This window comes from Homo sapiens, chromosome 4 (assembly GCF_000001405.40).
Source record: "Homo sapiens chromosome 4, GRCh38.p14 Primary Assembly".
Taxonomy (NCBI): Eukaryota; Metazoa; Chordata; class Mammalia; order Primates; family Hominidae; genus Homo; species Homo sapiens.
Genome location: NC_000004.12, coordinates 182,322,828 through 182,344,289, shown reverse-complemented (window position 1 = coordinate 182,344,289; position 21,462 = coordinate 182,322,828). Strand labels below are relative to the sequence as shown.

Genomic DNA, 21,462 nt, shown 5'->3' with positions numbered 1-21,462 from the left:
CTGAATTAAAAAGTTTGTTTTAGTTTCCCCTAGGAGAGAAAACTAAACTTGGCCTCAGTTGGACTCAGGTTAAAGCCACTCACTAGCTCTGTTTAAGTCACTTTACACTCTATTTTTTCATCTTTCAGGGCTGTCCTGACTTGGTTTAGGAGATGGTTTATGTAAATGTGACTCACACAAAAAAGGGCTAAATGAAAAAAATCACTTAAAAAATAAATACCTTGACAAACGTAATTAATAATCACAGAGAAGTGTATAGTTTGAGAGTAGGGAGAGGATCATTTTCAACTCATTTTCAAATAGCAACACCACCACCAAAGTTGAGTTTTACTTAAGTAATTGCCTTTATTCAAAAACATCCCTGCTCCAGACCTCCCTCAGTGCTTCACATTCTATTGTTGTCACTTCTCCTCAGTGGTTAAGAAATTTTTATTTTTAGGATCCCTTATTTTAATGCAAACACCCCTGGAAAGATCTAACCTTAAACTAGAATAAATTAGTCTATTCGATTATTTCTTGCAATCTAGCAGTGTTTAGCAAGATACACTATGCTGATGGAAAACATCTGCAGTTTTGACCAGTGCAGGGAAGATGGAGAGAATAGAGCTCCCTGACTGCGACAAGCGGTGTGGAGGAGGGCGGGAGGGCTGGGCTGGGCTGGGCTGGGCTTGTAGTAGTGGGGAGGGCTTTATGGCAGTGCAGAGAAGTGGGAAGAGGCAGGACAAGGCAGCTGAGATGCCCCTGGGACCAGGCTGAACCCTGGACAATCCTATGTAAAGTCAGCTTTGGCTTCAAGGAACAATACTTTATTCTCATTTTCCATGTTTTCTTTACATTGGAAAAGCCATGTTCTTTGCAGTAGTTCTAACATTGCTTTAATTTCTTTCTTTGCCTTTTACGGTCTTTATATTAATTCTGCTTGGCCATAACTGGCAAAATAAGTATTTATCTCCTGTACATTGAATTTTGGTAACCTTGATCAGCAGAGCCAACAAGAGTTTCCCATTACAATTTGAAACAGGACCAAAACAATAAATTGTAGCAAGAACAAAGTACACCTGAGGATGGAATTCACTGTGATTAAAAGGCAAGGTTAGCTCGGATTATATTAGGCATTTTTGTTTTATGACACTCATAAATGTGAAAATCTAGAAAAGGAAAACTGAATAAACACAACCTAGGTGGGCTGCATCATTTTTTTTAGGTTCACGTTTTAAAAAACGAGTGAGGGTATTTGACAAAGTAGAAAGGATGGTGTAAGGACAAATATTTCAAATGAGATTGGCACATAGCACAGCTCCCTCTTTAATAAAAGAAGGAGATTGGGAAAATGGGTTAGCTATTTGTTCTTTTTCTCATAGAAATTTGTTCTATTTGTCTATAACCTAGTTGGAGCAGTGAGGGATTTTTCAAAGCCACAATCAGGGTGATGTTCACCAATGGGTAACACATCTACTATCTCTTGTATGAGAAACAGATTCTACCCGAGGGACTAGTCTCAGAGGTACATAGGATGACGAAAGCACCCCACGGGGAAGGCATTCTCTCCTCACTAATGTCTGGATTTCTCTAATATCTAGATTTGGCTTTCTCTCCTTCTCTCTTGGTCTCTTGCTTGTTTGTTCCTTTAAAAAAACAAACAGTTTTATTGAAACATAACTCACATACCACAAAATGCACCCACTTGAAGTGTACACTTTAATGGTTTTCAGTATATTCAGAGTTCTGCAACTATGGGCACAATTAATTTTAGAACATTTTTATCACCCTAAAAAGACACCTTATACCAATTATCAGCTACCTTCTATTTTCCCCTCACCCCTCCCACCCCCAGCCCTAGGCAACCACTCATCTACTTCCCTTCCTGGACATTTCAAATAAAGAAGATCCACAATATGTGGTCTTGTGTGACTGGCTTCTTTCACTTAGAATAATGTTTTCAAAGTTCTTCCATGTCATAGCATGCATCAGTACTCCATTCCTGTTTATGGCTGAATAATATTCCATTGTATGGACACACTATCATTTATCCATTCATCAGTTAATGGACATTTGAGTTATCTCTATCTTTTTTACTATTATGAGAATGCTTCCAGGAACATTCCTGTACAAGTTTTCATGCGTACATATGTCTTCATTTCTCTTGAGCATATCCTAGAAGAGGAACTGCTGGGGTATATGGTAACTCTGTATTGAACCTTTTGAGGCACTGCCGGACTGTTTTCCACAATGACTGCAGTGTTTTATATTCCCACTAGCAGTGTATGAGGGTTTTAATTCTGCACAGGCTCATGAACACTTGTTATCATCTATTGGTTCTCTTTTATACCACACTTTATGTGGGACTTGGAGTTCGCAATGAGGGCTTAAAATATAGGTCATTGGTATTGAAATTTAGAGGGCAAACAAGAATCATTGTTCCCCTGAAAAGCAGCTGATTCTGTGAGTCTGCTATGCAAATTTATTATTTTATTCTATCATTTTTTTCTTTGCCTTCTATTATGCTGCTTTCACTCCATGTAAAATATTTTTCTATTAAAATCAGAAATATTATTTAGCATAGGAAATCTACCTTTGGAACTATATCCTATAGAAATAAAATCACCTGATCTTAAATATACAGAATGTTTATTTAAACAAGTTGTTTACTACAGCATTGTTGCAAAATTTTAAATAACCCAAATGTTGGCCAGAAAGAGAATGGCTGGAAAAGTTGCATGCCCATGCTGTGGAACACTGTGGTTAGCATAAAGAATGAGTTGGACCCATGTCTTCGGATCTGCAGGGAAGCTCGTTTGTATATATTTTAAGTAGAAAAAGAATGCAAGTTGTAGAATTATGTATATAGTATAATCCCACTTTTGGAAATTAAGGAAAAGGACCCACAGGTTATATAAGTTGAATCTGAATAAAGGTGAGGAAGGAGATATATAACTGTTATAATGGGTCATTTAGAAAAGGTTGTAAATGAAGGAAATTAGTAATTTTCTATTTTATAGTTTTGAATTTTTACTTCTCATGATAATTATTTCAATAATTTAAAAACATAATAAAGAAAAAATTAAAGCCTATCTTCTTTCTAAAAAACAAATATATTTTCTTGATTTGCTGTTTAATAGCTTCTACTCAATAATTAGAAATTTAATTTATTGCCTCTTCTAGGGGAAGCTCAGTTTTAAAAATCCTTCCTCGTTTATTGTAAAGAAATGAAACTTTGTAAGATACATGGGAGCATTTTCCCCTCCATTTCAATCCTTCCCTTTTTCTTCATCATATATGGATTGTTTTAAAGGAGAATAACCATTCATTTCTCCTACAGTAACCCCAAAATTGAATATGGGAAAAAATGGATGAATAAATATAAATTAAATGCACATAAATAAAACAATCTATAGCTGTCTTTAATTATTTTCCTTGGTTGTTGTGAGCTTGAATGGAATTATTTCTTCTCAGGCATGGAGTGACTCTCCTCCATCAGTCAGGCAGAACACAAAACTACAAACTGGGAAAGCATTTCTTATTAGGTGCTTGTTGAATCAGTGGCACCACCATGTCTTCCAGAGTTCTCTCTTTTGCTGTATTTGCAAAATCGTAAGAAGATTCCACAGCAAAAGAAGTATATGTAATTTTATTTCCAAATACATATTTTATGGGACATTCCAAACTCTTTAACCTTTTATGTTAAATGTGTCACCATTTGAACAAAATACCCATTCTTGAACATGCAATAGAAATTTCAGTGAGGCTACAAATCTTTATTCATAAGGCCCTACAAAAAACAGGTTTAAGAAACTAACTTAAAATCCCACTAAATACCTTAAGGTCCCCACCCCATTTCAACTACTTACTTGATTTATCTATTAATATGTTGTTAATACCCATAACCACATATTGAAACCCATGAATTTCCAGAGGACGCTGAAAATGACCACTGGACACCATACTCATAATCTAATTGATGACTCACAACACAAGTCTAATGGAAGCCATTGCAGGACATCCCCTCGGCAATCATCACAAATGTAGCTTTCAATGGAAATTCCAGGCTGGGCACTAAGGTGAACTTGAGGAGGTGGGTAAGAAAGGGAAACCCTAGGTATATCTGCAAGCTGAAAAGCCAGGACTAGAATGAATGGCCCCAGAAAAGATGCATTTTCTTCAAGATAAAATTTGTGAGGCCTCCAGGGGAGGACGAACATATGCATATTGAATGGAAGGTTTGGTGGCCCAAATAAGAAAAATTAGGTTGTGAGTTGGCTGACGTATAAAGAAAGAGCATGTCTTAGGTCTGGAAATGAAGGATTTAATGGGGCAACCATAAAAAAAGCTTTAGCAAACATTTGTAATTAAGAAATAACTTTAAAATAGCTTTTTTTTTTAAATCAAAAACATTCTGAAAATAAATTTGCTTCTTATGTTTACTTAGAAATGACTTCTTTAGAACAATCCAAGGCCCGGCAATGATAATACGCCTGCAATGTATCTGCTGATATCTGATAGTCGAACTGCAGTAGGTATTGGTATAAATACGCCTATGGTTTGGCATAAAGCGGCAGGTGTTTAATAATTGCGACTGAAGCAGCACCGCGGTGAGTCACACTGTGGATCCAAAATGGGCAACGTGGCAAGGAACCAGATACAAGTTGAGCAGTAAGCTGGGGCTCAACACATCAGACCAATGAAGGCCGAGGCAGGGGGAAAGGATTACCCCCACTGCGTCCTGAGGAGGGCTGTAAGCTACATCTATCTACTCACACCTTCTGGTGGGTAATCCACAAAGCAGGTTGGCTGCCGAGCCTGAAAGAAGCCCTTGCCTACTTAACAGCCAAAATTAGTTAACAATCAGTTAGGCAGGGGAGCTAAAAGAGGGAGCTAAGAGGAAAACCATTAACATGAAACAATGATAAACTAGAGCTATTTAACTTGTGTCTTTAAGTACAGAAATGTAAGGTTGAGTAAACATGACCATCTAAATCCTTTAATCCTGCCGCTGACATTTATAGTGACTGAGAAGGATTAATCATTTTGATCTCTAAATGAATCATTTTAAGCAGTTAATATTTAAAAGTAATAAACTTTGGAGTTGCAGTAATTAGCCCAGTGGATCTGATTAATGTTTCAGGTTTTTGTCTTTTTTCATAAAACTCAATTCTCACAAAAATAAGCTTTCTCAGCACCAGTATTTCAGAAAACATGAAAAGGGGTTTCAGATTCCTTTCGTTTTTGTCTGATGACAGAGGTGAGGGGGAACACTGGGGAAATGAAAAGTTTGGGGTCTAACTGGAAATTCATGGCAGCATTAAGTACTGAATGGTAGGACCATATGGTCATATTTCTTTTGAAGTCTCGGATCAGTTCCCATTATTCACTATAATGGCATCCAAGACTAAACTAAATCTCAGTCTTTAAAATTAAAAGCATTTTCCTCTTGGCTCTCAAATCTTCCTCTTTCACAATTTCCAACATGTCTGAATGGTTAATAGATTTTCATAATGCAAAAAAAATACAAATAAATAAAATAAAAATAAGAAGAGTAACAAAAATAATTTATTCCATTTCACATCCAAAGCAGGATAAAATGGTGCAGAGACATTATTATTTTAATCAAAGGAGTTACTGACACTATTTTTATATCTGTCCAATGCTACCAGTGACATTCTAAAATTATATGTACAACTTTCATGTTATATATTTAAGAAATATGATTTCAATTCTTTTGACCTAGCCAGAACATACAATATAAAGAAACATTTAAAAACCACTTATCATTTTAGTAATATTCTAATAAAACTGCCTCCCCCTCCCCCAAAATAAGTAGTCTATATCTAAGAGCTTAAAACAGGCTCTTTTTTATTTGGAAACAGATGAAAATATTTGAAGATCTGGTCCCATCTATGACACAAACTCTTTATTCTCTCAGTGCAGTCCTGGATATGTTGTATATGTTATTATCTTAATGGGCAAAATGCCTTTATCCAGCAAAACATTATAGTGCGATGACAGCGGAGGTTGTTTTTGAAAGATTGTGGTTATGGTTCAGTAGAGACAGTGCAACTCTGCTCTTGGCACCAAATCAAATCTTACCCCTGTGGAAGCCGGGAAAATACAAACCCAAAACTTTCCATGTTCAACTACAGTTGTTTGAACATGCTGATTTTTGCTTCTGTTGTATTTATTAATATTTAGGTAAATTTCATAGGCAGTGACATACATAGATCTAAAGTGGATACTTCCATGAGTTTTAACAAATGTACCCACCATGACCCCAAGCAAGATAAGATCACTCCCACAAAGCTCTCCCGTACCCAGTCAATCCCCACCCAACAGGCAACCACTGTCCTGATTTCTTCTACAGAAGGTTAGTTTTGTATGTTCTTGAACCTTATATAAATGGAGTCATACAGGATGTACTCAGGATCCTTTTGCTCAGTGGATATTTAAGATTCTTCCACATTGTTGCAAGTATCTGTAGATCACTCTTTTGTGTTGCCAACTCATATTCTATTGTATTAACATACAATTGTTATATCCATTCTCTTGGTGATTCCAATATGGGCCTATTATGAATAAAGCTGCTATGAACTTAAGTTTTTATTTACTTTGGGTAAATACTAAGGAGATGAATTGCTGGGTCCAGTGGGAGATGTTATTTTTAACTTTATATAAGAAATTGCCCAACAGTTTCCAAAGCAGTTGTGTCATTTTACATATGAAAGTTTCAGTTGTTCCACATCCTCAATATTTGGTGCTATGGGTCTTTTTTAATTTTAGCCATTCTGGAAGATGAGTGGTAGTATTTCATTGTGGTTTTAATTTTCATTTCTCTGATGGCTAACGGTGCTGAGCATTTTCCACAGGCTTATTAGTCACTTGTGTCTCTTTTCTGTGATGTTTCTATTAAAAGTTTTTTGCCCATTTTAAAATTTGGTTATTTATCTTTTGTTGTTGATTTGTAGAAGCTCTTTATATATTCTAGAGACAAGTCTCTGTGATAGATAGATAATTTTCTCCCAGATTGTGGATTTGCTTTTCATTTTCTTAAAGGTAATGTCTGATAAGCAAAACTTTGTAATTTTGATGAAGTCCAATTTATCAATTTTTTTCTTTTATATTTATTCCACTTAGGACCTTTCTAAGATATCTTTGTCTATCTCACATTTGTGAAGATATTTAAGAACATACGTAGCTTTTTACTGCGGTTTTCTAATAGAAACTAGAAAGATAAAAGAGTAGTGTAGAAAAATGATTGAAATTTGATTGTAGTTTTCTTCTGGACCTAGAACTCACCAGCTGTTGTCTGAGTGAACACTTTAACAAGTTTGAGTCTCATATTCCTCATGTATACAGTGGACTCAGAGGCTCTCAAAGATCTCCCAACCATATCAGTTTATGCAGAGGCAGAAAAAAGGCAGCACAATGGAACACAAGAAAAAAAAAAAAAAAAAAGCTAAGAATAATAGCATCAACAGTCCAAGGAGAAAAATGGAAAAGAAAAAGTTAAAATTTCCTTCAGCATTGGGGACTTTTGGTTTACATTTCATCCCTAAAATAAATCAAAAGCACAATGCTATGTTCTTATCTGGCTCCTCCCTTAAACACCATATCTGAAGTTCACCCTGAATTGAAAACCAAGCCATCAGGGCAGCAGGGACATTAACAAGCTAGATCTGGCCATCTGGAAAGGTGCTTTTCTTCTCCAACCCCCAAAGGGTAGAACCAACCTGCTGCAGTTCCGAAGCAGGAATTATTTTTGGCCTTTGACCTTTTGACTGAAAATCAGAAGGTGTTCCTTCACAGCCCCACTCTCAAATGCACCCTCTGTGAATATTTTGCAGTTTTTTTCTTTCAGTTTTTTGTGTTATTGTTTATTTCACACACTATAATGAGAGCTTCTGTGTAAAGTTTTGAGCACAGCTATTCATGAATTGCTTTTTTTTTTTGGCTTCTTCCTAAGCCAGAACTTCAAAAACTATATAGAAAGTTCTCACTTTAGGAATTTGTTGGGTTTAGAAGTTGATAAGAATCAGTATGCATTTTCCCATGAAAACAACATGGAGGATGCCAAGATGGAACACACAGGTCTTCTGAGTTATCTGTGTCTGAATGAAGAACTGGATGAATTGTACTCTAGGGCATGGCTTCCATGTGTGAGACTGTCTCTTTGAACAAATGTACCAATGAGGAAGATCCCGCCTACAGTAGCCGCTTCCATTGATTTCCTGCTTACCAAGTGGGGAGAAACTTCCTAGGCATATTCCCTGGATATATGAATGCTCAATGAAGGATGCCAGGATAGGGGCTGTATAGTAGGGATGTAGAATTTGGGATTAGCTACCGCCTTTCCCACACTAATAGGAACATCGATTCTCCTTTTCACGTTTACTGACCGTGTGAATTTCTCTTTTGTGAATTGTCTATGCATGCCATTTCCCATTGGGCTGTTTATCTTTCTGTTTTCAAACTGTAACAGTCATTCAGTATATTATAGATATAGACATTATATATGTCATAAGAATTATAAACATATTTCCCAATGTAGTGATTTTGTTTCTGGGTATTTTAATTTACATGTAAAAGGTTTTAAATTTTAAAACTAATCATTTAAGTCTATCTTTTCTTCTGGGTTTTCTGTTAGAAACATTCTAATTTTCTATTGCAAAATTTCTCCCCTACTATTGAGTCCCTGGGATCGGCTGTGTGGATTCAAACCACTTTCTTCTTGCCACCTTTATTATAAGGACTGGAAAGCAAAAATGGCAAATGCTTCGTCTTTTTTTTTTTTTTTTTTTTTTTTTGAGGCGGAGTCTCGCTCTGTCGCCCAGGCTGGAGTGCGGTGGCGCGATCTCGGCTCACTGCAAGCTCCGCCTCCCGGGTTCACGCCATTCTCCTGCCTCAGCCTCCCGAGCAGCTGGGACTACAGGCGCCTGCCACCGCGCCCGGCTAATTTTTTGTATTTTTAGTAGAGACGGGGTTTCACCATTCACAGGATGGTCTCGATCTCCTGACCTCGTGATCCGCCCGCCTCAGCCTCCCAAAGTGCTGGGATTACAGGCGTGAGCCACCGCGCCCGGCCGCTTTGTCTTCTTGTGCAGCTAAGTATGGTCAAGTATAACAGCTCTGAAAAGAGAGGGGTAGCGAGAAGTTTCAGGGGAGTAAAATGAACTAGTCCAAAGTAGAGAAGGCCTTCCTACCTGTGCGTTCATTCTTACTCCAACAGGAATATGAAAGCACAGCTGCCACCTGGGCACCAAGGGGACAAAAGCTACCGGCTAAGAATGACAAAGATGAAAAAGATAGAGAGATGCCTTAATGATATCTTTACGCCCTGGCTAGATAGTCTATCTCTGGACTTCGTGTTTTATAAGAAAATGATTCTCTTCAGTTTTTAAGCTGAAGCTTTCTGCTACTCATGGCTCAAGTCATTCCTATCTTAGTCTCCCAAATTAACTTCTAGAATTCTTGCTTTATTTTTTACATTTGTCTTTAATCCATCTTAATTTATTTTTGAATATGCTGAGAGATATGGGTCCAATTTTATATTCTTCCAGATGGATAACCAGTTGTGCCAGCACCATTTATCAAATCCCACTGAATAGAAAAACCTTTTTTTTGTTTTATGTTAAATTTACCTATATACTAGGATATATTTCTGAAGTTTTTGTCTATTCCATGAATCTACTTGTCTTTATTTATGCCAATATCATATAGACATGATTACAGCAGCTTCATCATACTTTTGAAAATACATATTAACTCCATTTTGTCCTCACTATTTGACTTTTAAATATGGTTTCGGCTATTTCCAGAAATTTGAAAATACGAATTTTATGATCACTTGAATTTTAAGATAAATTTGAAGATCACTCACGCCAATTAAAATTAACTCTAACCCACCGGAATTCTATTTGATATCCTTAACTTCTATGCATTAATTTGGGGAGAATTAATATTCTTATGGTATCATCTTCCCATCCAAAAACATTGATTATTTATTTAGGTCCTGTTTTACGTTTTTTAAATAATATTTTATAGGTACCCTCACATTAGGTCACATAGCATGCTTGCAAAATTTATTCCAAAGAATTTTATAGTGTCTGTTGCCTTTGTGATAGGATTTTTTTTTCTGACTTCCAAGCAGTAGATATTAATAACAGGTATCAGGCATTATTCTAAACAGTTTACATATATTAACTCATTTTATCCTCAACAAACTACAGCACAATCTATGAATAATGAAAATGGAGGCATAGAGAAATTATGTAACTTGTCCAAAAAAGTTCCTTGGCCAAGATTAGGTAAACTGCCAGTCAGCTACGGCAAGGCAGACCTGGGATTCACACACAGGTCATGTGGATTCAGAACCTATACTCTCAACCGTTATACTATATGATCTACACTGTCCATATATTTATTTTGTATTCATCCAAATACCAAATTCACTTCAAATTCCTTTTTTTTAATTTCTAGAGACACATGGTTTTTGTATGCATACAACCATATCTTTAACAAAAGTACTGATTTTAACTTTTTCCAAAATATATATCATTTAATTTTCTTATTACAATTGCTAAAACATCTAAAACAATTTTGAATAATAATTGTGAGAATAGGTAAACCTTTCTTATGTTCCTATTTCAACTGAAATGTCCTAGAATCTCAGTTTTTAGAATGCTGTTTAGTGTCTAGAGTGATCATGTCAAATATTACTACCATATTGAAGTGTTTTTTCTTCTTGTGAGTTTATTTGAATAAAGAATCCTTTCTAAATTTTTTCCAAAACGTGTAAATCATCTATTGATAAGATCATGGTTTTCCCCTTTGATTTATTAATCTAATTATGTTAGTAGATTTCTGAACACTGAAAAATCCTTGTATATTCAGCAAGGATTAGTAACCACTTGGCTATTAATTTGGTCTAGCATATTATTCTTTTTATATATTGCTGGATTCTTAAATGCAAATACTTGTTTTGAATTTTTACACACCTACTGAAAAGCAGTTTTGGTAGGTGAAGCAATTTATGTATGATTTCTTTTTTTGTACTACTCTAATCAAGTTTAGTTATTAAGGTCATGCCAACTTCATAACATGAACTTTGATGCCTTCCATCTGTTATGAAGGGTGGTGTTGAATAGATTTTTAAACATTAAACTTAGTTGTACTTTGAAGGTTATGCAAAATGTACCTAGGAACATATCTGGCCCTTGGAAATGGTCTCTCTTTTAATCACCTTTCTCATCTTGTCTGAAATAATTGGTGTTGACAAGTTTGCTCCATCTTCTGAAATCTTTTGGGGTTACTCATATTTTCTGAGAAAAAATAAATTCCTCTAGATTTTTCAAATTTATTGCTTGGAATAATAGCACCTCTTAGTTGTTACAGTCTTTTTAGGATGTCTTATTTTTGTTCTCATTATTTCTTAATCAGGATCATAGGTGCTTTCTATTTTACTAGCCTTTTTAAAGACTTAGCTGTTTTGTCTGTTTTAAATTTCAGTTATATCTTATGTACCTCTTCCTACTTCCTCTGATTTATTTTCCAGACATTGTACTCTACTCATTTCTTGTCTTTTTTTTTTTTTCTTTTTTCTTTTTTTGAGATGGAGTCTTGCTCTGTCGCCCAGGCTTGAGTGCAGTGGCGTGATCTTGGCTCACTGCAACCTCCACCTCCCGGGTTCACGCCATTCTCCTGCCCCAGCCTCCCAAGTAGCTGGGATTACAGGCGCCCACCACCACGCCCAGCTAGTTTTTGAATTTTTAGTAGAGATGGGGGTTTCTCCATGTTGGCCAGGCTGGTCTCGAACTCCTGACTTCAGCTGATCTGCCCGCCTCGGCCTCCCAAAGTGCTGGGATTACAGGCGTGAGCCACTGTGCCTGGCTTGAACTCATTTCTTAAATATATAGTATATTCCTATTTTGTTAGTCTTTGTTCCTGATTTCTTCACAATGTTTTCCCTATGATTATGACTTTCACTGTCTCCCATACATTTTGGAAGTAGAATTTTCATTGCTCTTGATTGCTTTTCATCACAGTCAAGGGACATCATAATCCAAGGGGCAAAAGTGCTTTTCTTCATTTATCTTTTTGTTATTTATTTCTAATTATCTTTTTGTTATTTATTTCTAATTTTACTACATTTTATGATAAAATGTTTTGGCTTATAAAATCTATTTTCTGAATTTTTAATGTTTCTTTAGATGGCCAAATACATAATCAGTTTCTGCAACTATCCTATAGAAATATAAAAAATTGTATCATTTCTGACAGTTATAAATTTCTGTATATATACCTTAGCTGAAATTTTCGATTAATATTATGTAATTGCTGTCTTATTTTTGTCTTTCAGATCTGCCTGATTCTAAAAGAAGTGAATCAAAATATCTCACTACTAACGTGTTTTAACAATCTTTCTTTTTTTAATAGTTTTTGCTTATAAATTTAGCTACTATATTATTGTTTAAGGTACGCATTTTAAGAATGTTCTTCTTCTGCACAGTATGCCTTTCATCACTTACCCAGTGGTCCTTTTTATCCTACTGAGAGTTTTTCATCATAAATTCCATCTTTCCTGATATTAATACTGCCATTCCTCCTTTCTTTTTGTTTGTATTCACCTAATATATCTTTATTCTCAACCATTTTCTTTACCATTTTAAGTGTATGTCTTAAAAATACCAATAACTTTTATGAAACAATTGAGTAGTTTATGTCAAAATGCAGTACATGTATTTATTTTATTTTTTGGAGACAGAGCTCACTCTGTCACCCAGGCTGGAGTGCAGTGGCATTGATCTTGGCTCACCACAACCTCCATCTCAAGGGTTCAAGCGCTTCTTGTGCCTTAGCCTCCTGAGTAGCTGGGACCACAGGCTCCTGCCACCACACCTGGCTAACTTTTGTATTTTTAGTAGAGACCGGGTTTCTGCATGTTGGCCAGGCTGGTCTTGCACTCCTGGCCTCAAGTGATCCATCCACCTCGGCCTCCCAAAGTGCTGGGATTACAGGTGTAAGCCACCGCACCCGGCCAAAATGCAGTACATTTAAATTTTAGGTGATAGGTAATAGAGTAGATTTGACTCCTTTCATCTTGTTTTTTGATTATTCATGATTTTTCCTGTTGCCTTTTTTTCCTTGGAGCTGTTTTTGCTAAATTGGTCAGACTGCTAGTCAATCCCTTTCCTCACTGCTAATTAGGTGGGTCTATTGTCCTCTTTTCATTGTATTAATGATTACCTTCCCACTCCTGACATTCATATTCAAATATATGTTTGTCATTGTCATATGTATGCAAGATAGCAATTATTTCCCTCCACTAAAGCTCTATTTCATAACTGTTTCCCCACTCTCCCTCTTCAGATGAGATGAGAATTTGGAACACTTTTACTTTTCTACTTTCCTCCAACTGCTGGATTTTGCTGAGATAGGTAAATGCTTTTAGTTCCAGCCTTCTGTTAAGGTTTCTCTTGTAGTGCTTCTGACACATTTCCAGTTGCTCTGTAATCATCGTTTGAGATTTAACTATATACACTGTAGAGTTGCTTTCTCATCATTGTCTCCTCTTCGGAGGCCATGATTCTAATTCAGTTGGTATTTCTTCTTGAGTACTTCCTTAGACGGTGTGTGTACACTGTTGACGTGGTCTCTGAATCCCAGCATTACCTAAGTATCTTTCATTTACTCTGAGAGATAAATGCTATTGATGGGGTTCAGGACATGCTACCCAAAACATGGCACTTGGCATTTGAGAAAACAGCAGAAGCAGGAAGGCCACTCTCACTTTCCCCTTGACCTTCTCCCCTGAAGCAGGACATAAGACCCTCATCCAAGAGGTGCCCTCCCTATACGAGGAGGAAGCAACAGCCGTATCTCTGAAGACACAAGGACACAGAGAAGAATCTGAACGAGCAGACCTTGCCCAGTTCCTCCCAGTTTATCACCATTCAATCCCTGTGTTCAATCACACTTCCCCATGACTGTCCCCTCTTCATCCAACCTCACACAAAAAAACACAAGTTTACCTGTTTCTTTGGGCATTCATTTCCTTATAAAGGTTCTTGTGTCACCGAAAACTTACATTACATGAATTTGTGTGCATTTCTCTTGTTAATCTGTCTTTTGTTATAGGGGCCTTAGTCATGAACTAGTGACGCATGGGAAAAGAAATCTTTCCTCTCCTACAGTATCTTCTCTGCAAATAAGATCCCTGGGTTGCATTTTTTTTTTCTCTCAGTAGGTGTTATTCCACTGTTTTCAAGCTTTTATTGTTGCAGATGAGAAATTCATTATTGGTGTTATTTATTTTTAGTAAGTAAAAAAAAGTAACCTGCCTTTTCTCTGTGGCACCTTGTAAACGCTCTTTATCCTTGAAGTTAAAGAATTTTTCTAGAATGTGCCTCAGTTTGTGTGTGTGCATGGTGTTGTCTTCTTAATTTTATCTGAAATTCTCTTTTCTGTTTTGAGTTGTTTCTTCTACCTGGTCTTCAAAACCATTAACCTCTCTTCTTCAACTAATCTGCTGCCATTTTTAGTTTGTAAATTATGATTTTAATTTTTTCTCCAGCATTTGGTGGCCATTGTTTGTTTTGTTGTTGTTGCTTTTTTGTTGTTATCATTCTGGGATTTCTGCACATGCTTTAGTTACAATGTTTTATTTTGGTTCAGGTTGTCTTCTCTTATCTCCATTGTTCATTTTCATTACAAGCTTCTTAGTCTATTTCTTTTACATCTTATCCCACTTCCTGAATTCTGGGTGCCATTAAATTTGTTGTTTTCCTGAGGTGCTTTAAGAAAGAGCGGGAAATCGTGTTAGATTCCTGGGACCAACATCTCTACTATTTGGTTTTCTTAGATGGCATTCTCACCCTATCAGAGGGAGAAATGCATCTGTTCAGGCTTCCCCAGCTCCTGAGGGGCCAAGGAAACCAGCTGCTCCCACAAGGCAACATTTGCCCAAGTGGGGGCCATGGGAGGGGCAGGTCAGCCTCTCTCTGGAACCACCAGGCCACAGCATTCTTCTTGACCTTCACGTTAGGGCTTCACCCCATTCCACACTCTCTTCTGGCACAAAGCGGAAAACACTTGCGCCAGCTTGGTCCTTCACGATCCTAACAGAGTTGCAGATGTCATGTGTACCCTCGATCACTGCTCAGCTCACAGGAGGTAGCGAGTCTGCTGGGAGATGAGTGGATGAGCCCTCATTCAAGCCACCATCATGCCAGGGTCCAAGATACATATTTACAGGAACATTCAGACTACTCCTCTAATGTCCTTTTGTTTCCTCACAAGGGTTATCCTTGGTAAGGGGCAGGTCTAGCATCTGGAATGTTTGCATACAAGATGGGCTAGCGCTCAGGATGCAGCCCATAAGGGAGGTCCGGCAGTGGGGAATCAGGCCTTGTGGGATCTACTTTCCCTCTTCTCTTTCTTTCCTCTCCCCAGTGGGATCCCCCAAACTACACTTGAACTGGCCTTGAACCAGCAAGGGCAGGAGGTGAGAAGCAGAAGCCATGCTTCTGGGGGCTGGGAGTGCTCAGCATTACTGATGATGGTAAGAATGAAGAGACGGCACGGCCCAAAGAGGGGAGTTTCTGGGAGTGGAGCCACGCTGTCAGCAAAGACCAGAGATGAGGCACACTTAGAAATCAATCAGTGCCTGTCGTTCTCAAACTGCCTTCCTTCTTCCTTCCCTTCTTTGCAAATTTACTTTCTGTTTTAATTTCAGTAACGTACAAACATAGATATCACGGTGTTTTTCAAATTTAAAAACAGAGTCCTGGCCGGGTGCAGTGGCTCACGCCTGTAATCCTAGCACTTTGGGAGGCCGAGGTGGGCGGATCACCTGAGGTCAGGAGTTCGAGACCAGCCTGGCCAACATGGTGAAGCCCCATCTCTACTAAAATTACAAAAATTAGCTGGGCGTAGTGGCAGGCGCCTATAATTCCAGCTACTCGGGAAGCTGAGGCAGGAAAATTGCTTGAACCCAGGAGGCAGAGGTTGCAGTGAGCCGAGATCATGCCATTTCACTCCAGCCTGGGCGACAGAGTGAGACTCCATCTCAAAAACAAAAACAAAAACAAAAAACAGAGTCCTTCCTCTCCATTGCCACTCTACAAATAAAGAATAAGTGGTAGTCTTCAAATGTTAAAATTCTGAAATTCACAACCCCAACACTGATTATTGACTAACTCTTATATACTTTGGGTTAGGGCCCCAAAGTGGTTCTTTTCAGGCTTATGATTCAGTGGAACAAATGTATTCTTACTTCCAGACATCGTCTCTTTTCAAGGTTCACCCTCACGGGCAGCGTTCCTTGTTGGAATTGATAAGTGTTTGGTCAAGAATACTACAGAACATGTGCATAGCCCACAGAGCTGCAGCAGAGGAAAAATGTTCTTTTATTTTACCACTTCTCCAAAAGCTGTGGGATGATCCTATGCAGCTGTTTCATAAGAAATTTGTCTGAGACCTGATGGGATAAATTTTCTTCAAAGATTAATAAAAGAAAATAGCATCTAAGAATGCAAAACAAGCCATTGTTACCCTAACCTCACCCTCACCTACAGCAAAAGCTCCACAGCTGTTCAAAGAGCAACATTTCCATCACCAACAAACTACATGAAGAGATTTAAAAAGAGAAAGAGATCAATGTGAGATCCCGTCAAATTACACAATGACTGTGAAGAAGAAATGATCCCCAGCATTATGCTACCTAAATATAACATGTAATTAACAGTAGTCACCTGCCAGTCAGTAAAGCCATACAAAACCATTAAATTCAAGTTTGATAATTAGACATAAAATTGGTCAATTAAAAATATAAAAACATCATATTTCTCGATTTGAATTCTCCATATAATCGCACCAACGGAAACCCTGCTTGTCCCTTTCTCCAGCCGAAGTTGCATTTCCCTGTGTCATTCAAGGAGTAAATGGATACAGGACTGATCAGCTGTTTTAAAACTCCATGGACAAAAAAAGCTAAATTAGCATGACTCTTTGGAATTGTTTCAATGATATTTGGCTACTATGAATATTTTTAATCTTTCATTTTTATGACCTATATGATGTCAGGAGCTGTGGCAGGAAGCACATTTTCTCAATTAAATAATTAATCCCATAGCATAATAGTCCGTGAGAAAAAATTGACATTTGTCAGGTTCAAAGAAAATGAAAGCCTGGAAGGATTTCTCATTATGCTTGCTCAAGAAAAACATAATCTGATAGCAGACTTTCCTTACTCGTTTCTCTCCTACACCTACCACTCCCGCTACAAATACTCCGCATATCAAACCACAGGAAGGAGAAAGCATCCGCAACGCCACCCTCACACTCGTCCTCATTCACCCAATTACAGAATCATATCAATTTTATTTCCTAAATATGCCTACAGTTTGCTCACACCTCACTATCCACACCATGAACATTCGAATTCAAAATTGACTAAAATGGGCTGGGCGTGGTGGCTCAGGCCTGTTATTTCAGCACTTAGGGAGGCCCAAGTAAGAGGATTGCTTGAGGCCAGGAGTTTGAGACCAGTCTGAGGAACAAGCGAGACCCTGTCTCTATTAAAAAAAATGTCTTTAAAATTACCCTGGCATGGTGGTGGTGTGCACTTGTGATCCCAGCTACTCAGGAGGCTGAGGCAGGAGGATTTTTTGAGCCCAGGAGCTGTAGGCTGCAGTGAGCTATGACTGCCCCGCTGCAGTCAGGCTTTGGCAACAGACCGAGCTTGTCACTAAATTAATTAATTAATAATAATGATAATAGACTTAAAAAATTGACTGCAATAAATCAAAGGGTGATATTTTACTGAGTTGCCTGTTTTCCACTGTGGCAACTGCACAGAGATTAGAAGCCAGGCCAGAACCAGGCAAGCCTGGGCTCAAGTTCCAGCTTAGTTCTCAGGAGCCATGGGGTCTCCAGCCTCTCCAAACCTCATCCGTCTCAATCTGTGAAAAGACTACGCTACCGGGACCCACCTCACCAGGGGAGCTGCCTCACACACCTGCCTAGCGCACTGACCAGCACGCAGTAGGGTGGCAGCATTAGCTGTAACTAGCAGTCCATCCCATTTACGTTTCTACAAAGTTCGGATTCATACACATCAAGTGACCTGCGGCACCATCACACACTGCGCGAGCGCTTCTCCATTCACTTCTGCTCTCCAACAAGGCCTCCCTGGCCGCCTGGCGCCCTTTCTCTTTCCTCCGCCCCTTTGGATTCTGCAGTCCTTGGCTTGGAAGGAGTGAGGAATAACACTCTTTGGCCCCCTATGAACCTCCGTTTCAGGGCTTCTACAAATGCTACCGCCGGGTTGTCAACAACAGTCTGCGCTGGATCAAGGCTGCCTAGGAGGAGAACAGTTCAGTGCGCTATTTTTAACCTGTGTAGGCATCGTCTGTGCTGCCAAAAAGAAATGCTTGCCTGGTGTGGAGATAACCGGGGTGGAGATGACCCCCAGTGCATCTCGCCACATGTGCTGCTGTTTCCTTCGAATAATATTCCACAATGTGGAGTTTGGGTTTTTTTAATTTTTTTATTTTTTTTTCGTTTTCCAACAGGGCACTAAAGAGTTATTTTTGATACAAAAAGCAAGACTTCACATTTGGTGCAGATTGCATGCATTTCTACACTACTTACTATTTTTTAAATTGTTGAAAAAATGTACACTGATAATCTATTTCAGCTGTGCAGACAATATGAAAAAAATGGGTTTAAAATTACAATACATTGTACAGTCAACTAAGAGTACATACCTCAAATATGTTTTGTATCTCCCCTGAAAAACGGATTAAAAATGTTAAGCTATTTTGTCCCTTTTCATAAAATTTGATACCAGTAATTAGTAAGGCATGCTTTAGGGTATAAAAATCTCTCCTTAGCGAATCAAATGAGTTTTCTTTGATGTAAACCGGCTTGGGTGAGTGAACACTATTTCAATCTAGTTACAATGGCTCTTTGCACAATGCAGGGAAGAAAAGAACCATGGAAAATTTTCCAACTTTTGAACGATTTATTGCATTATTACTTTTTCTTAAATGTGTTCCTGCCCAATATCAGACTGTTAGTCACACTGTCTGTACGGTGATTGGAAAAGAATGAATATATTCTTTATTATTAAAGTTTAATTTATTTTTTCTCATTTCCAGATTAAATTAGCTAAAGAATGCTAAGTTATATGTAAATTATACTGCACATTACAAATGTAAGAGGATTTTATTTTTATTAGTAATCTTGCCCACATCTCAAGACTGTATTAGAAGAAACAAAATATAACTATGTATGTCTAATAAAAAATAACCTACTGTCTTAAGAGTAGAAATGGGTAGGTTTAGGAGAGTGAAGTAAAGTTACAGGAGTCATGATTCCACTGGGAGCATCCTCAGGCCAAAAACAGTGTAAAAATGTTCAACAGATAGACGCGAATGACCAAGCCCTAGTGGATTACATTGTGGGAAACTAGGAAGTGTTAAGGTATAAACTTAATTTACTAGGTTGCCTGGGAGAAAGACAATGGAACCTTTCCGTGGCAGGCTTTTGTGTGAATCAGACAGAGGCAAACAGCAGGACTGCTTGGGTCCTGAGATGATCTGGGGTAATAAGCCACACTTTCTTGTGAGGGAAAGATGGGTTTCTTCACCAACAGCTCCTGTTCTCCTTGTACCGGTTCTAGCCACAGACACAATGTCTGTGAGCACCTTCATTCAACTAAAAGGGAGCCCCAGAGACTGGAGTTTCAAGTTTACACAAGTTTGTACAAACGCTTGGGCCACGTGCAGAATCATAAACCTCACGTATAGCAGGTGAGGCTTCGGAATTCTCCACGTGTCAGTGCCTGTGCCTGGGGCACCAATGTGCCCACCGGTGGCTTTCTATCTCTCATCTGGAATACTGCATGATGATCTAATATCTCAAAATCAGAATCAGCAGATGGAACGCCAAAGTCAGAAAACAGACATGTCACCTTGAGGGGAAAATCACGACACCTACAAGTTAGTAACGTGAGCATTGCCTTATTTTACTAGGACAGTTACCCACCTTGTCTAGTGAACTCGTCTGCTTCTCTGTGAACCAAATCCTTCACTCTGTTGCCGTAAAGCAGCCGCGAGGAATCATGATCAAAAGCTTTCAATGTCTCGCTGGAACTGTAGGACTTCTGTGTGGGTACCCGGCACTCCTCATTGTCTGCGGAGGAATTTGTGTAGCGCCGTTCCTTCTCTCGTCTGCTCTTGGTCAGGGAGCAGTAAGGCCTGCGTTCTTTCACATCCATACTTCATTCCTTCTGTGTGCACATCAGTCCTGCTGGTGACAACTTAGGCTCAGGGTTCAAGTCTCATTGGCCTCTCTGTGAAGATACAAGGTTTGCATGAGGTCAGCATGACGTTCACCTAAAAACTGGCTACTCTCTACCCTTCTCAATCTGGGATGGTAGGAAACAATAGTATTGCTTATCTAGGAAACTTGCTTTCAACAAGAAATTAGTATTTCTGAAATCAGTGTAAAATACATTGTATCACCAAGAGGTGAAGCACGCTTTCTGCTGGTGAGTGCTATGAGTGTTTATTGAAGCTACTGTATCTGATTTTCCCCATTAATACAAAAAAAAAATTGTAAGCTCACGCTGAAATTTCACTACAGAAGCCAGCTAAAAATTGGCTTCAATAGTTTGTTAAATTTTCCACAATGGAAAAGTTAGAATGGCTTTTTCTCTTTATAGCATTTCTCCATTCAAAATAAATTCCCTTTCATTTTCTTATAAACGTACACTATTTTTTTCTTTTTCAATGTATTCTAAAGAGCAGGAACAAATTGGGAAATTCTTGCCACTGAAACTTTGTCAAATGCATTGAACTTTTTTTTTTTTTTTTTTAATATATCTTACAAAGACTCTTTCTTCAGAGGGCACAATTTTCATGTTTTAAGAACTCAAATGTCTTGAACTGTGGAAAAAGCTGGTCCTCCTCCCCATACCATTCTGCTTAAAATGGATTTTCCTCTCTAGCAAATGAATTTAATCAGCGCAAATCGTGATATTTAAGGTAATTCAAGGGGCTAATTTGATGGGGGGAGTTTCCTGCAACTGCACGAATAAGCGAGGCAAATGGTGTTGCTCTGCTTAAAAACTCTCTATTTCCTGAATTTGCTGAACTGACAGTGGAAAGGGTGGGAGGAAAGGGTCTGCCGGCAAAAGACTGGGGCCTTCAAGAGGGAGAGTGGCCCGGGGCGAATCCGCATTTCAAATGGTTCTCCTTTATCTTTATTCCTTCTCATGTTGTCTCTCCTTTTAATCTGAAGGACCCCGAAGGCTTTATCTTCAGCCCTTCGTGTTTTCCTCCCACCCCACTAAAATCACTTTTTGGTAAATTCACTTTTTCTTTGAGTGATTCCATAGTCAACTTGAAATCAATGGTTCCCAACTGGCCTCAGGCCTTCTCCTTGGTTCCTGTAGTATCCTTTGGCCGT

The 21,462-nt window shown here is 38.3% G+C and overlaps 1 protein-coding gene across 24 annotated transcripts in view, besides 1 other annotated feature; it reads right to left on the bottom strand.

Moving 5' to 3' along the window:
- TENM3 (teneurin transmembrane protein 3) overlaps positions 1-21,462 on the bottom strand; it is a 1,355,412-nt gene that overhangs the window by 458,735 nt on the left and 875,215 nt on the right. For all 24 annotated transcript variants that reach the window (XM_017008385.2, XM_017008389.2, XM_017008390.2 and 21 more), the window contains one exon: positions 20,038-20,344. In XM_017008385.2, the coding sequence (XP_016863874.1) occupies positions 20,038-20,269 (232 nt within the window). In that variant the 5' untranslated portion in view covers positions 20,270-20,344. The remainder of the gene's footprint in view (positions 1-20,037; positions 20,345-21,462) is intronic.
- Positions 4,515-5,110: an enhancer, noted in NCBI's record as "NANOG hESC enhancer chr4:183260333-183260928 (GRCh37/hg19 assembly coordinates)". NCBI's record gives its function as "activates a minimal SCP1, AML or CMV promoter by ChIP-STARR-seq in naive H9 embryonic stem cells {active_cell/tissue: H9 hESC(naive)}" and the evidence as "EXISTENCE:reporter gene assay evidence [ECO:0000049][PMID:30033119]".